Source organism: Homo sapiens, chromosome 3, assembly GCF_000001405.40.
Source record: "Homo sapiens chromosome 3, GRCh38.p14 Primary Assembly".
In the NCBI taxonomy this organism is placed as follows: domain Eukaryota; kingdom Metazoa; phylum Chordata; class Mammalia; order Primates; family Hominidae; genus Homo; species Homo sapiens.
The window spans coordinates 155,727,082-155,741,201 of NC_000003.12; the positions used below are offsets into that span (position 1 = coordinate 155,727,082).

Genomic DNA, 14,120 nt, shown 5'->3' on the forward strand with positions numbered 1-14,120 from the left:
TCTTATTTTTAATTATTACATTTTTATTTTTTCAAGTTGTATTTGGTTATTTTTTAAATGAGCTTGGAAAAATAAAAATAAAAAAATAAAATGAGCTTGGTTAGTCCTCATAGTTTCTTATCTTAAGCTCGTATCTTGTGTTTAGGGGAGGTTTTTTATTCTGTTTTTGGTTTTACAGACATGCTCATTTGCCTTTTAATTTCATTGGCAGAAATTCTCTGTAGTCTGAGATAAAAAATAGATTTCACCAAAAAAGGAAAAAAAAATGGGTTCTGCTCAGTACCAGCAACACTTCCAATGTACGAAATCCTTTTTTTTTTTTTTGAGATGGAGTCTCATTCTTTTGTCCAGGCTGGAGTGCAGTGGCACAATCTCGGCTCACTGCAACCTCCCCCTCCTGGGCTCAAGCGATTCTCCTGCCTCAGCCTCCTGCGTAGCTGAAATTACAAGTGTGTGCCACCACGCCCAGCTAATTTTTGTATTTTTATTAGAGACAGGGTTTCACCATGTTAGCCAGGCTGGTCTCAAACTCCTGACCTCAAGTGATCCGCCCGTCTCGGCCTCCCAAAGTGCTGGGATCACAGGTGTGAGCCACCGAGCCCGGCCCAATGTATGAAATCTTTAAACCAAATCTGCATCTTGAGGTTTTCCTGACTTCATAGGTATTGTAAATTCCAGATGCATACCTGTATTAGAGCTGGTTTACAATCACAAATTCTCAGGACCAAGAAATCAGGCACCTGCTCTACACCAGTGATAGGTGATCTTCCTTACAGACTTCTTAAGTTAGAAAGAAAATACGGTGATTTTGTTTCTTTTTTTTTTTTCTAATTCACACTTACATTAAAGCAGAAGCCTTTTGAAATCCCAGCTTTATAACCAAAAGGCCCCTTCTCAGATGTCTCACTCTCTTGTCCCTTATGCCTTCTGGCAATGAAAACTGAAATTCAAGTTAACCCAGTTTGGCAAATGTCCTCAAGGCAAATCCAGCTTCAGTGCTCAACTGAACCCTCTTCACTGAGCTTTTGGCATGAGTATTCATTACTTTCTTACTGGTTCATTGCATTTAGGAAAATGATTTTTCTATTTTATCCAGAATTTTTAAATGGTATCAGCGGGGGGCGAGGGTGTGTTGCTAAGAAGAGAGCTGACCCCTGGTAATTCATATTCAGAGCCACAGATCCATGCAGTTTGACAGCCAAATCAGGACCTGAGCCAGCCCAAAACATATTAACTCAGGGCCTGCCACTTTGTAATAACTGCTGATATTTTTTTCGCACTTCCTATGGCCAAGTATCATGATAAGCATTTTGCAAGTATTATTTTATTTAGTCCTTTCGACTATCCAAAGGGCTAGGTATAATTATTATCCCTTTTGTTCTGATAGAGAAACTGAAGCACAGTAAGGTTAAGTAATTACCCAAGGTCCCACAACCATCAAGCAACAGCACTAGGATTTGAACTCAAAAAATCTAACTCTAAAGATTTCCTTCTTAAGATATGTGTAATTTTGCTTCCTAACAAATCATGAATAAAACAGAGGGAGAGAGAGAGAAAGACAACAAGACAGAGCCCTACTAAGTATGGCAGAGCCAGTAGTAGATCCAGACTTCCTAACCTCAGTCCTTTCTACCTCCCTATTCTCATATCAGGATGGGCATACTTCCATTTTTATAGATATATATGCCTTCATTTTAAAAGTGGGCACACAATACTGATTGGAAATTAAGACCATATTAAAAAACATCTAAAGGAATGAATATTTGGTAATTAGATTTCAACTCTCAGTGGCCATCAATCTGGAACTCTAGCCCAATGTTAACATATTTGATTGCATCTGAAGATGTTTCTTGATGACATACAAACAGCAGATTTATTTTACAATTCTTATTTAATCAACTTGTGCGTAGGTCTAACATCCAAAAATTCCTTGGCTTATGCTAATTGTCTCTAAACCAGTGATTTCCACACTTTTTAAATAGTGGAAATGGATTTCAGAATATGTCTGCTCACGATTCCTTCATACATAAGGATGTCCAAAATTCAGTCTAAGAAAAGGCATCCCCCAAAGAAGGACAGAGCTGCCAGTCTCCCCAATTCATCTTATCCTCTCTTCTGTCTTCTTCTCCATCCACCAGTGAGTGAAGGGAGCTTATAGCAGGGAATGTGTCCAATTTTCATCTTTGCCTGTCCTCCCTACCCCTTCTACCCAGCAATAAGGAGTGCAGCTCCAAGAGATCTGCCTTGTGATGCCAATCCAAACTCCAAACATCATCTCTCCTCCTTTCAACCACACAGCAGGGTAAGTGGGGGATCTGTGCCCAAAAATACAGAAAAAAGTTCCTGGAGAGTGGGATGTTGCAGCCAGATGTCAAAGGATGAGTAGGTTTAAAAGAGGGAGGAGAATATGGGAGGGTTGCATGGGAAGGACATTTTAGTAGGAAGGAACAGTAGATGCTCAAATCTCTGTTCCTGGTTATAAAAGGAAAATTACTAAAGAATATTATTAATATGCTATCTAAATATAATGTGATATAATAAAGAACATATAAGGAAATTGGGCCAGGCACAGTGGCTCACGCCTGTAATTCCAACACTTTAGGAGGCTGAGGTGGCAGATGGCTTGAGCCCAGCAGTTCAAGACCAGCCTAAGTGACATGGTGAAACCCCATCTCCTCTAGTAAAAATTCAAATGTTATCTGGGCAAGGTGGTGCACACCTTGTAGTTCCAGCTACTCAGGATGGAGTGGGAGGATCACTTGAGCCCAGGAGGCAGAGGTTGCAGTGAGCAAGAGATCATGCCACTGTACTCCCGCGTGGGTGACACAGCAAGACTCCATCTCAAAAAAAAAAAAAAAAGAATGCTTAACCATAAATTATTCAGAATATAAGTCCTGAGAATGGCCTCTCTTTAGAAGGATAATAGTCATAATAAAAATTATAGTTTTATAAAGATTTTAACCTAAGATACTGGTGGTAAAATTAAGAATTAAAGTTTTATTTCTCTAAAGGCAGCAGAGATGGGTTCTTAATCCTCTAACAGGTCAATAAAGAGCCTCTACTATATGAAGATATAAGAATATCAGAAATTACAAGACAGGAATTCAAAAGGTCCTCAAGGAAATAGAGAAGGAGATGGGATATGAAACCTGATTTGTTCATAAGAATTCTCAAGCTCAAAAGAGCATCAAAAATGATTAGTTTTTTTTTTTTCTTTTTTGAGACCGTCTTGCTCTTTCACCCAGGCGGGAGTGCAGTGGGGTAACCTTGGCTCACTACAACCTCCGCCTCCTGGGTTTAAGTGATTCTCATGTCTCAGCCTCCCAAGTAGCTGGGACTACAGGCGCCCGCACCACGCCCAGCTAATTTTCGTATTTTTAGTAGAGACAGGGTTTCACCATGTTGGCCAGGCTGGTCTCGAACTCCTGGCATTGGGTGACCCACCCACCTTGGCCTTCCAAAGTGCTGAGATTACAGGTGTGAGCCACCATGCCCAGCTGCAACCTAATTGTTGATTGATCTGCTTAATTTATAGTATATCCATACAGTGGGAAATATGCAGCCATTAAATAAGTAAACAAATAAAAGAAGAGCGAGATGGCAAAATAAATAACTTCACAAGAGCTAAGGAAACCAGGTAAGAGATCATGAGATCATAGCACCTAAGGGTAGCACAGAAATAAGAAACCACATTGAAAAGGGTAGGAAGGACAGTTTTACATTACCCAGGTCACCCATGCTTTAACCACAGGCAGCACAGTGTGGAGAGATACCCTCTGCTTGGGGGAAGAAGATGGAGGTGAATAATGGACATTGCCTTACACCCTAATGCCAGGCCCAACCCAGTAAAATCCAGAACCAAGAGGGCCTGCACAATTCCAGACTCCAGACCGGTAACCATGGACTGAGCCTCCAGGCCTACCCTGGCACCATGCCAGATCCCACAGCCCTAGGCTCCAGACCTGCCTGGTGGACTTGTTCTCCAGGTTTGCTCCATTGCCAGGTTTACCTCAAAGGCCACAGACTCCAGGCTAGCCAAGTGGCACCAGGATACAGATTTGCTTCCATCCCAGGCCAGCCTCTGCAGACTTAGGCTCTAGGCCAACCCTAGGGCCATGCCAGCCCCCATGGACTTAGGCTCCAGGCCCATCCCGTTGGACCTAGGTACCAGACTCATCACAGCAGCTGGCCAGCACCTGCAGACTCAGGCTCAAGGCCTATTCCAGTGACAGGTCTGCCTCTGTGGATCCAGACTCAAGTCCAATTCCCACAAACAACAAACTCCAAGTCTACCCTCATGCACCTAGGCAGCAGGCTAACCCTCATGGACCCAATCAACAGGTCCACGCCAGTGGATCCAAGCTCCTGGCTCAACCCTGAAGATTCAGATGCAACGTCTGCCCACCTACTGACCCAGGCATCAAGCCAGCCTGCCCATGAACCCCAAGAGCAAGACCACCCACACAGCACACCAGATGGCCTGCCCAGAATCTTTGGAAGGGCTGACTGATAAAAGGCTTTCCCACACAAAGTCAGTCTACAAAGACTGGAATAAATCCCTACTTCTTCAAAAGCACAGGCACCAACCCACAGCCACAAACATCAAGAATAGTCAGGGCAGCCGGATGCTGTGGCTCATGTCTGTAATCCTAGCACTTTAGAAAGTCAAGGCAAGCATATAACTTGAATTCAGGAGTTCAAGAGCAGCCTGGTCAACATGGCAAAACCCCATCTCTGCAGAAAATACAAAAATTAGCCAAGCATGGCGGCACACACCTATAGTCCCAGCTACTTCGAGGGCTGAGGTGGCAGGATCACTTGATCACTTGAGGTTAAGGCTGCAATGAGCCAAGATTGTGCCACTGCACTCTATCCAGCCTGGGTGACAAACAGAGACCCTGTCTCAAAAAAAAAAAAAAAAAAAAAGTCAGGGAAACATGACACCTCCAACTGAACAAAATAAAACACTACTAACCAACTCTAAAGAAAAAAAAGATGTATGAACTGCGTGACAAAGAATACATTATCAATGTTTATAGGAACCTCAACAAACTTCAAGAAAATACATAGAAATAATTCAAAAAAATTAGGAAAACAATAAATGACCAAAACAAGAAAATTAACAAAAATATTAAAAATCATTTTAAAAGTCAAATTCTGGAGCTGAAGGATGCAATGAACCAAATTTAAAAATGCAAGTGTCAACAGCAGAATTGATCAAGAAGAAGAAAGTATCTGTGAACTTGAAGACAGGTTATTTGAAAATATTATATATAGAAAACCCTAAAGACTATTACTAGATACAATTAGAACTAATAGATGAGGCCGGGTGCAGTGGCTCACGCCTGTAATCCCAGCACTTTGGGAGGCCGAGGCGGGTGGATCACGAGGTCAGGAGATCAAGACCATCCTGGCTAACACAGTGAAACCCAGTCTGGAAAAAAAAAAAAAAGAACTAATAAACTAATTCAGTAAAGTTGCAGGATACAAAATCAAAACTAAAAAATCAGTTATGGCTGGGTATGGTGGTTCATGACTGTAATCCTAGCACTTTGGGAAGCTGAGGCAGGCGAATCACCCGAGGTCAGGAGTTTGAGACCAGCCTAGCCAAAGTAATGAAACCCCATCTCCACTAAAAATACAAAAGTTATCTGTGCATGGTGGTGCATGCCTGTAGTCCCAGCTACTCAGGAGGCTGAGGCAGGAGAATCACTTGAATTCAGGAGGTGGATGTTGCAGTGAGCTGAGATTGTACCACTGCACTCCAGCCTGGGTGACAGGGTGAGACTGCATCTCAAAAAAAAAAAAAAAAAAAAAAATCAGTTATGTTTCTAAACACAGAATAAATCCTCTGAGGAAAAAAAATCAAGAAAATAATCCCATTTACAATAGCTACAAAAAAAATACGTAGGAATAAATTTAACCAAGGAGGTGAAAAACTTGCATACTGAAAACCACAAAACACTGATGAAATAAATTAAAGAAAACACGAACAAAGGGAAAGATATCCTGTGTTCATAAATTGGAAGAATTAATATTAAAATGTCCATATTACTCAAAGCAATCTACATATTCAATGTAATTCCTATCAAAATTCCAATGACAGTTTTCACAGAAATAGAAAAAAAGAAAAACACCTAAAATTCATATGGAACCACAAAAGATCCTGAATAGAGAAAGCAATCTTGAACAAATAGAACAAAGCTAGAAGCATCATGCTACCTGATTTCAAAATATACCACACAAAGCTATAGTATTCAAAACAGCATGGTCCCAGCATAAAAACAGACACAGAGAACTATGGAACAGAACAGAGAGCCCAGAAATAAACCTACACCCTTGTGGTCAATTGATTTTCAACAAAGGTGCCATGAACACACAATGGGGAAAGAACAGTCTCTTCGATAAATAGGTTGAGGAAAACTGGATATCCACATGCAGAAGAATAAGATTAGACCATTTTCTCTACCACATACAAAATCAACTCAAAATAGATTAAAGATTTAAATGTAAAACTTGAAACTATAAAACTACTAGAAGTAAACAGGAGAAAAGCTCCATGACATTCTCTGAGCAATGATTTTTTGGATATGACCCCAAAAGCACAATAAACAAAAGCAAAAATAGACAAATGAGATTGCTTCAAACTAAAAAAGAGAATGAATAAAGAGACGACCTGTGGAATGGGAAAAATATTTGCAAACCATACATCTGATAAGGGGTTAATATTCAAAATACAAAAGGAACTCAAAGAACTCAACTGCCAGAAAACAAATAACCTGATCTGAAGATAGGCAAAGGACCTAGATAGATATTTCTTAAAAGACAACATACAAATGGCCAACAGGTATACATATATATATATATATATATATATATATATATATATATATATATGCACTCAACATCACTAGTCATCAGGAAAGTGCAAATTAAAATCACAATGAGATTTCACTTCATATCAGTTAGAATGGCTATTATCAAAAAGACAAAAAGTAAGTGCTGGCAAGGATATGGAAAAAAGGAAATCCTTGTGCACTGCTGGTGAGAATGTAAATTAATACGGCATGGAGGTTCCTCGAAAAATCAAAAATAGGACAGGCACAGTGTCTCATGTTTGTAATCCCAAGACTTCGGGAGGCCAAGGTGGGAGGATCACTTGAGCCCAGGAGTTCAAGATCAGCCCAGGCAACATAGTGAGACCTGGTCTCTATTAAAAATAAAAATAAATAGACAGTCATAGTGGCATGTGCCTGTACTCCCAGCTACTCAGGAGACTGAGGTGGGAGGATTGCTTGAGCCCATGAGGTCAAGACTGCAGTGAGCCATGATCGCACCATTGTACTCCAGACTGGGCAACAGAGTGAGACCCTATCTCAAAATAAAATTAAATTAAATTTTAAGAAATTAAAAATAGAACTACTATATGATCTAGCAATTTCACTACTGGGTATGTATCCAAAGAAAATGAAATCAGTATGTCAAAGAATTATCTTCACTCACATGTTCACTACAGCATTGTTCAGAATAGCGAAGTTATGGAATCTGACCTAAGTGTCCATCAGTAGATGAAGGGATAAAGAAAATGTGGTATATATATATACACACAGTAGCATTCTTTTCTTTTTCTTTTTTTTTTTTTTTTGAGACAGAGTCTCGCTCTGTCGCCCAGGCTGGAGTGCAGTGGTGCAATCTCGGCTCACTGCAACCTCCGCCTCCCAGGTTCACGCCATTCTCCTGCCTCAGCCTCCCCAGTAGCTGGGACTACAGGCACCCGCCACCACGCCCGGCTAATTTTTTTGTATTTTTAGTAGTGACGGGGTTTCACCATATTAGCCAGGATGGTCTCGATCTCCTGACCTTGTGATCCTCCCGCCTTGGCCTCCCAAAGTGCTGGGATTACAGGCGTGAGCCACCGCGCCCAGCCTATACACAGTAGCATTCTATTCACCCTTTAAAAAGAAGGAAATCCTATCATTTGCAACATGGATGAACCTGGAGGACATTATGGTAAATGAAGTAAGTCAGACACAGAAAGACAAATACCACATGATCTCATATGTAAAATCTAAAAAAGTTGAACTCATAGAAGGAAAGAGTAGAATGGTAGTTACCAGGGACTGCGATGTGACTGGGTGGCGGGTGGGGAAGATGCTGGTCAAAGGATACAAAATTTTGGTTAGATAGGGGGAAGAAGTTCAAGAGTCTATTGTACAACATGATGACTATCATTAATAACAATGTATTTTATTCTTAAAAAATTGATAAGGAGCTGGGTGCAGTGGCTCACGCCTGTAATCCCAACACTTTGGGAGGCCAAGGCAGGTGGATCACCTGAGGTCAGGAGTTCGAGACCAGCCTGGCCAACATAGTGAAACCCCATCTCTACTAAAAATACAAAAATTAGCCGGGCGTGGTGGCAGGCACCTGTAATCCCAGCTACTTGGGAGGCTGAGGCAGGAGAATCGCTTGAACCCAGAAGGCAGAGGTTGCAGTGAGCCAAGATCGCACCACTGCACTCCAGCCTGGGTGACAGAGCGAGACTCCATCTCAAAAAAAAAAAAAAAACTGATAAGGGTAGATTTTCAGTGTTCTTACAGCAAAAAAGAAAAAGATAAAAAAAGTATGTGAGGTATTACATAAATTAGCTCGATTTACCCATTCTGCAATGTATACATATTTCAAAACATGTATATAATTTTTGTCAATTAAAGAAAATAAATAGTTTAAGGAAGCTCTTATATGCTGATATATAATGATACACAAAATATGTTACGTCTGAAAAAACACACAAGAAACTAATAACACTTTTCTACGGGAGGAAAAACTGAATGGCTGAGGAACAGAGATGTGGGAGGTAATTTTTCCCTAAACGCCCTTGTAAGCTTCTAAAATGTGTAATCATGAAAATATAAGATCTATCCAGTTATTCTTTCCCAAAGAATAAAATTAATACACTAATGAGAAGAATTCTATGAGAAAACGTACACCTTTAATTTAGTTCACCAGATCGGAAGTGAGGACTTTTCAACAATATGTTGGGAATTGGTCCTGATTCAGGTTTTTGCTTTTGACTGAAACTTGGAAACTAAATAACAGATTTCACATTTCTCTCTTTTGACAAAAGAAAAAGAAGTTAGTAAACAGTTTATGTTCTCTCTCTTCCAAGACTGTATTTTAGTGATTTACCCAGTAAATAGAAAAATACTTTCAATCCAAAACCTATTTAAAAGGAGAAAAGTTGTGGTTTAGAGTAGAACATTTGTGTACAAGCCTTTTCTCTTTTTCCATTTAAGAAGAAAAGATTCCTGTGACATTCACATTCAGACAAGGCTCAGGAAAATTCAGGAATAATCACACTACAGTGATTTCTCTTTGGGGAACAAAAGCAATGGGCAAAAAAATAAGAAAAAGAAACTTTCCAGCCTTCACTCCATAAACACACTGCCTGCAAAAGACAGGTTCAGCTGCTCAGTAGTCAGACGAGTCTGATTCCCACCGGTCCCCTGAGCCAGGTTGCAGCCAATAGTGATGCTTTATGAGAGGAAAGAAAACTATTAAAAATTGCAAAACCTCTCCCGCCCTGTTATCGAAATCCAGAAGACCTTAGAGAACACTAGTTTTAAAAATTATAAAATGCAATGAGGCTTATGAAGAAAGTAAGACAGATAATTGCTTTTCTTTTCTTTAAAATTGCTTCCCAGTCTCCTATTTCTACCAGTTAGGAGCTAAGAGACAGTCGTTTATTTATTCATTTATTATTGAAACCCATATATTCTCTTTTTCTTTCTTTGTTTTTATTTTTTCTTTCATTTTATGTATTAAGTTGAAAGCTTCAAAATTCAAAAGGCATAAAAGAGTATACAGGCCGGGCACAGTGGCTCATGCCTGTAACCTCAGCACTTTGGGAGGCCGAAGCGGCTGGATTGCCTGAGCTCAGGAGTTCGAGACCAGCCTGGGCAACACGGTGAAACCCCGTCTCTACTAAAATACAAAAGAAATTAGCCGGGCGTGGTGGCGCACGTCTGTAGTCCCAGCTACTCCCGAGGCTGAGGCAGGAGAATCGCATGAATCCGGAAAGCGGAGGTTGCAGTGAGCCGAGATCACGCCACTGCACTCCAGCCTGGGTGACAGAGCAAGCCTCCGTCTCAAAAAAAAAAAAAAAAAAGAGTATATGGTGAATTGTTTACCTCTGACTTCTGTCCCTTAGTAATCAACTTCTTAATTCTTGTGTATCCTTCTGAAGATTTTTTTCTTTTTTCTTTGTTGAGACAGGGTCTCAATCTATCACCCAGGCTGGAGTGCAGTGGCAGGATCACAGCTCACTGCAACATCAACCTCCTGGGTTCAAACAATCCTCCCACCTCGGCCTCCCAAAGTGCAGGGATTACAAGCGTGAGCCACCATGCCCTGCCCTCCTAGAGATATTATGTATGTGTAAAAGAAAAGGTGGTTCCCCCTCAAATATAAATTAAAAAATCAGAGGGTCTTCACATAACCCTAACTCCTTATATTAACACATTACTGTTCTATGAAGCAATCTCTTCTTTAAAAAATAAATTTTCAATACCTCCTATATCACTCAAAGATAAGAAAGAGCTATTTGGCAAAAAGAAATAGGATGTCTGGAGAACTACATTGCATATGATTTTATAGCAAATCAACTCACTGAATTTCTGGTCCAGGATTCTGACCTGAAAAACCTGTGTAGATCTTCCAAGTTCCCAGCAGAAATAATTCTGCAGAAGTTTTATTAGCACTCCATGCAGATCTAAGGTCCAGAAGCCTCTTCAACTTAATTGAAGAGGGAGAGAAGAGGGAAGTGGGAAGCTGAATTCAAATGTTTGGTTCTTGTGGACTAGCAACAAGGAAGTGAAGACAGATGAAAGAGAAACCTTGAGTGCCTTGGATCAGTTAATCAGTAACTCACTGACGCTGGCACTAAACTAGATCCCGCTGACATCCAGTGGCAATTGACCGGGTAAGGCTAGACAAGTTTGTAAGTCTCTTGCTCAGTGCAAAAGAACCAGCCACAGAGAGAAGAGGCTGCTTGGAGAATAAGCTACAGAAAACAACTAAAGAGCAAAACCCAGAGAGCCCTCCAGGGACCTGTGTGGTGTCTGAGGCAGAGGCTGAATTCCAAGACAGAGTCCAGCACCCACTTTTTTTGAAACCCTTAGCATTTTCTTCTAGCCTGGAGTCAGGTACTAGGGAAGAAAGAAGACCCAGAAGAAGGGTGTGCTTTTTAAGGTGTGGTGCGCTATTAAGAATGCTGGACTGCCGGGAGTAGTGGCTCGTGCCTGTAATCTCAACACTTTGGGAGGTAGAGGTCGGAGGATTGCTTGAGCACAGGAGTTCGAGACCAGCCTGGAAATATAGTGAGACCCTGTCTCTACAAAATTTCTTTTAAAAATTAGCGGGGCGGGGCGCAGTGGCTCACGCCTGTAATTCCAGCACTGCGGGAGGCCGAGGCAGGCGGGTCACGAGGTCAGGAGATCAAGACCAGCCTGGCTAACACGGTGAAACCCTGTCTCTACTAAAAATACAAAAAAAAAATTAGTTGGGCGTGCTGGCGGGTGCCTATAATGCCAGCTACTAGGGAGGTTGAGGCAGGAGAATCGCTTGAAACCGGGAGGCGGAGGTTGCAGTGAGCCGAGATCCCCCCACTGCACTCCAGCCTGGACAACAGAGCGAGACTCCACCTCCAAAAAAAAAAAAAAATAGCATAACATGGTGGCACACGCCCGTAGTCCCAGCTACTCAGGAGGCTGAGGGGCAAGGACCTCTTGAGCCCTGGAGGTGGAGGCTGCAGTGAACCAAGATCGTGCCAGTGACAGAGGGAGACCCTGTCTCAAAAAAATATACAAAAATAAAAGCATGCTAGACTTAGGTGTCTTAGGTATCCATCGCAACTCAGCCACCAATTGGCTGTGTGAACGATGACATTCCTGAGCCCAGTTTCTTTATGCTGAAACCAGCTCAAAAATACTGCAAATCTAAAACCAGCTCAGTACAAGCCAGTTGCAACTTCCCAGTACCACAGCAGTTTTAGGAGCACCAAAACTCCAGCTTCTGGAATAACTTAAGACATTTTCAGCAACTGTCCAAGGCAATTCTCATCTCCAGTTTGAAAAACATTGCAAAACACTACCCGGTCCATTCTAGCAGTAAATCTATCAATACTACCTCAAGAAAAATAATCGGGCAACATTTAGATAAAACCAACATCTAAATCTTAGGATGTCAGAAAGCACACATTAAAATCATGAGGAATCCTCTTAGACCCACCACAAGATGGCAACAATCCAGAAGTGGTAAGTGAGCAAGTCGATGTGGAAAAATCTCTACAGCACATAACCTAAACACCACTTCCAAAAACATAGCCCACATCGTTTATAAACAAAGTCGTGAATGTTTTCTGGAACCAGACCTGAATTTACAACCTCCTAAACTCCATGTAGGGAATGCAGTTTCTTTACTCTCCAGACAGCTTATCAGAAACTCTCTACCTGTCTATACTTTGCATAAATGGTGAATTTGAAAATAAAAGTAACCCAGCGTTTGTCACAAATTTCCCGCCTATTACCACTGCATTCCTGAGTAGTAATAGGATGTAACAGAACATGGAGGCAGACAGACGTGGGTTCAAATTCCAAGTCTGTTCCACGTTCGTCTGTCCCATGTTACATCTTAGGCAAGAAACTAACCTCTCTGAACCTCATCAGTAACATAGGATAAGAATTCCTGCCTCTCTTGATTATTGTGTATTATAAAAAGACATAAAATAAGTGCCATCACGTTAGGAATACATTAATGTTCACTTCCTCCTTTTCTTCCAGAATCCTTTAAAATATTTACAGAACAATAAATAACCAGAAAAACTATCCCCCCTTATGGTAAATCCCAATCATGCCAAAATTCCTCAGACCAAAATAGATACCAAATGAAAAACAGCTTTTTTGTACTTAGACATAGCGTGTGTACCATATGTGTTCTCATGATACACACATGCTTATAAAAAGATATTGTCAGAAGGTAACCACTGTTGGCTAGGTGCGATGACTCAGGCCTGTAATCCCAGCACTTTGGGAGGCCAAGGCAGGCGGATCATCTGAGGTCAGGAGTTCGAGACCAGTCTGGCCAACATGGCAAAACCCCATCTCTACTAAAAATACAAAAATTAGCCGGGCATGATGGCGGGCGCCTGTAATCCCAGTTACTCAGGAGGCTGAGGCAGGAGAATCACTTGAACCCAGGAGGTAGAGGTTGCAGTGAGCCAAGATCTACTGCACTCTAGCCTGGGTGATAGAGAGAGACTCTGTCTCAAAAAAAAAAAAAAAAAAGAAGAAGAAGAAGGTAACCACTGTTAATTCTACCCAACAATATTAGGTTAAATCATATGACATTGCTGATGTTTGACCACCTTATATTTACAACTATAGCAGTTTCATATAGTTGGAAATAGCAAATCTAGGGCAAGGATTCGAGGCCAGGAGCAGTGGTTCATAACTGTAATCCCAGCACCTTGAGAGGCCGAGGAGGGAGGATCACTTGAGCCCAGGAGTTCAAAACTACCCTGAGCAACATAGTGAGACCTCATGTCTAAAATTAAAAATCGTATTTAAAAAATAAAGCAAGGATTCAATATCTGTCTGCCCTCCCTAGATTTCCTGAAAACAACAAGATCATTAGAAATCAGTAACTCTGCGTTGTCATCCCCATTCTGCCATTTATTAGCTGTGTGACTTTTAAGAAAATCATTTAGCAACTTTGGGCCCTGGCTTCCAGATTTATACGATACATATGGTAGATTTATCTTTTTCTGCTCTGTAATTTAATGACTATAATAAGGCATAGGCACTTAGGTTAGTGCCACCAAAATACATAGCTGGTAAGAACATTTTAAACTTAGCTATCCACGTTATCTTGGTTGTCCCTTCTGCATCTATCCTGCCCTCTTCCACTACGAAGCACAGAAGACAGAGATCTTGATGATAATAAAATAAAGCTGTGTAAACTTCTTCACAGGCTTCTTAAAATGCACTTCTAATTTGGCACACCCTACCACAGCAGTACTGGATTTCTCCTTAAACAAAAATGGTCACGGGTGTCAAAGAGAT

The 14,120-nt window shown here is 41.1% G+C and overlaps 1 protein-coding gene across 12 annotated transcripts in view; it reads right to left on the bottom strand.

Annotated features, from left to right (window-relative positions):
* Positions 1-14,120, bottom strand: part of PLCH1 (phospholipase C eta 1) — a 294,138-nt gene that overhangs the window by 276,148 nt on the left and 3,870 nt on the right. The window contains exon 1 of one of the 12 annotated variants that reach the window (XM_011512560.4): positions 10,670-10,874. The exons of the other annotated variants lie outside the window; for them this stretch is intronic. The gene's annotated coding sequence lies outside the window, so the exon portion shown is untranslated. Of the gene's footprint in view, positions 1-10,669; positions 10,875-14,120 lie in introns of those variants that run through there. 12 annotated transcript variants of the gene reach the window in all.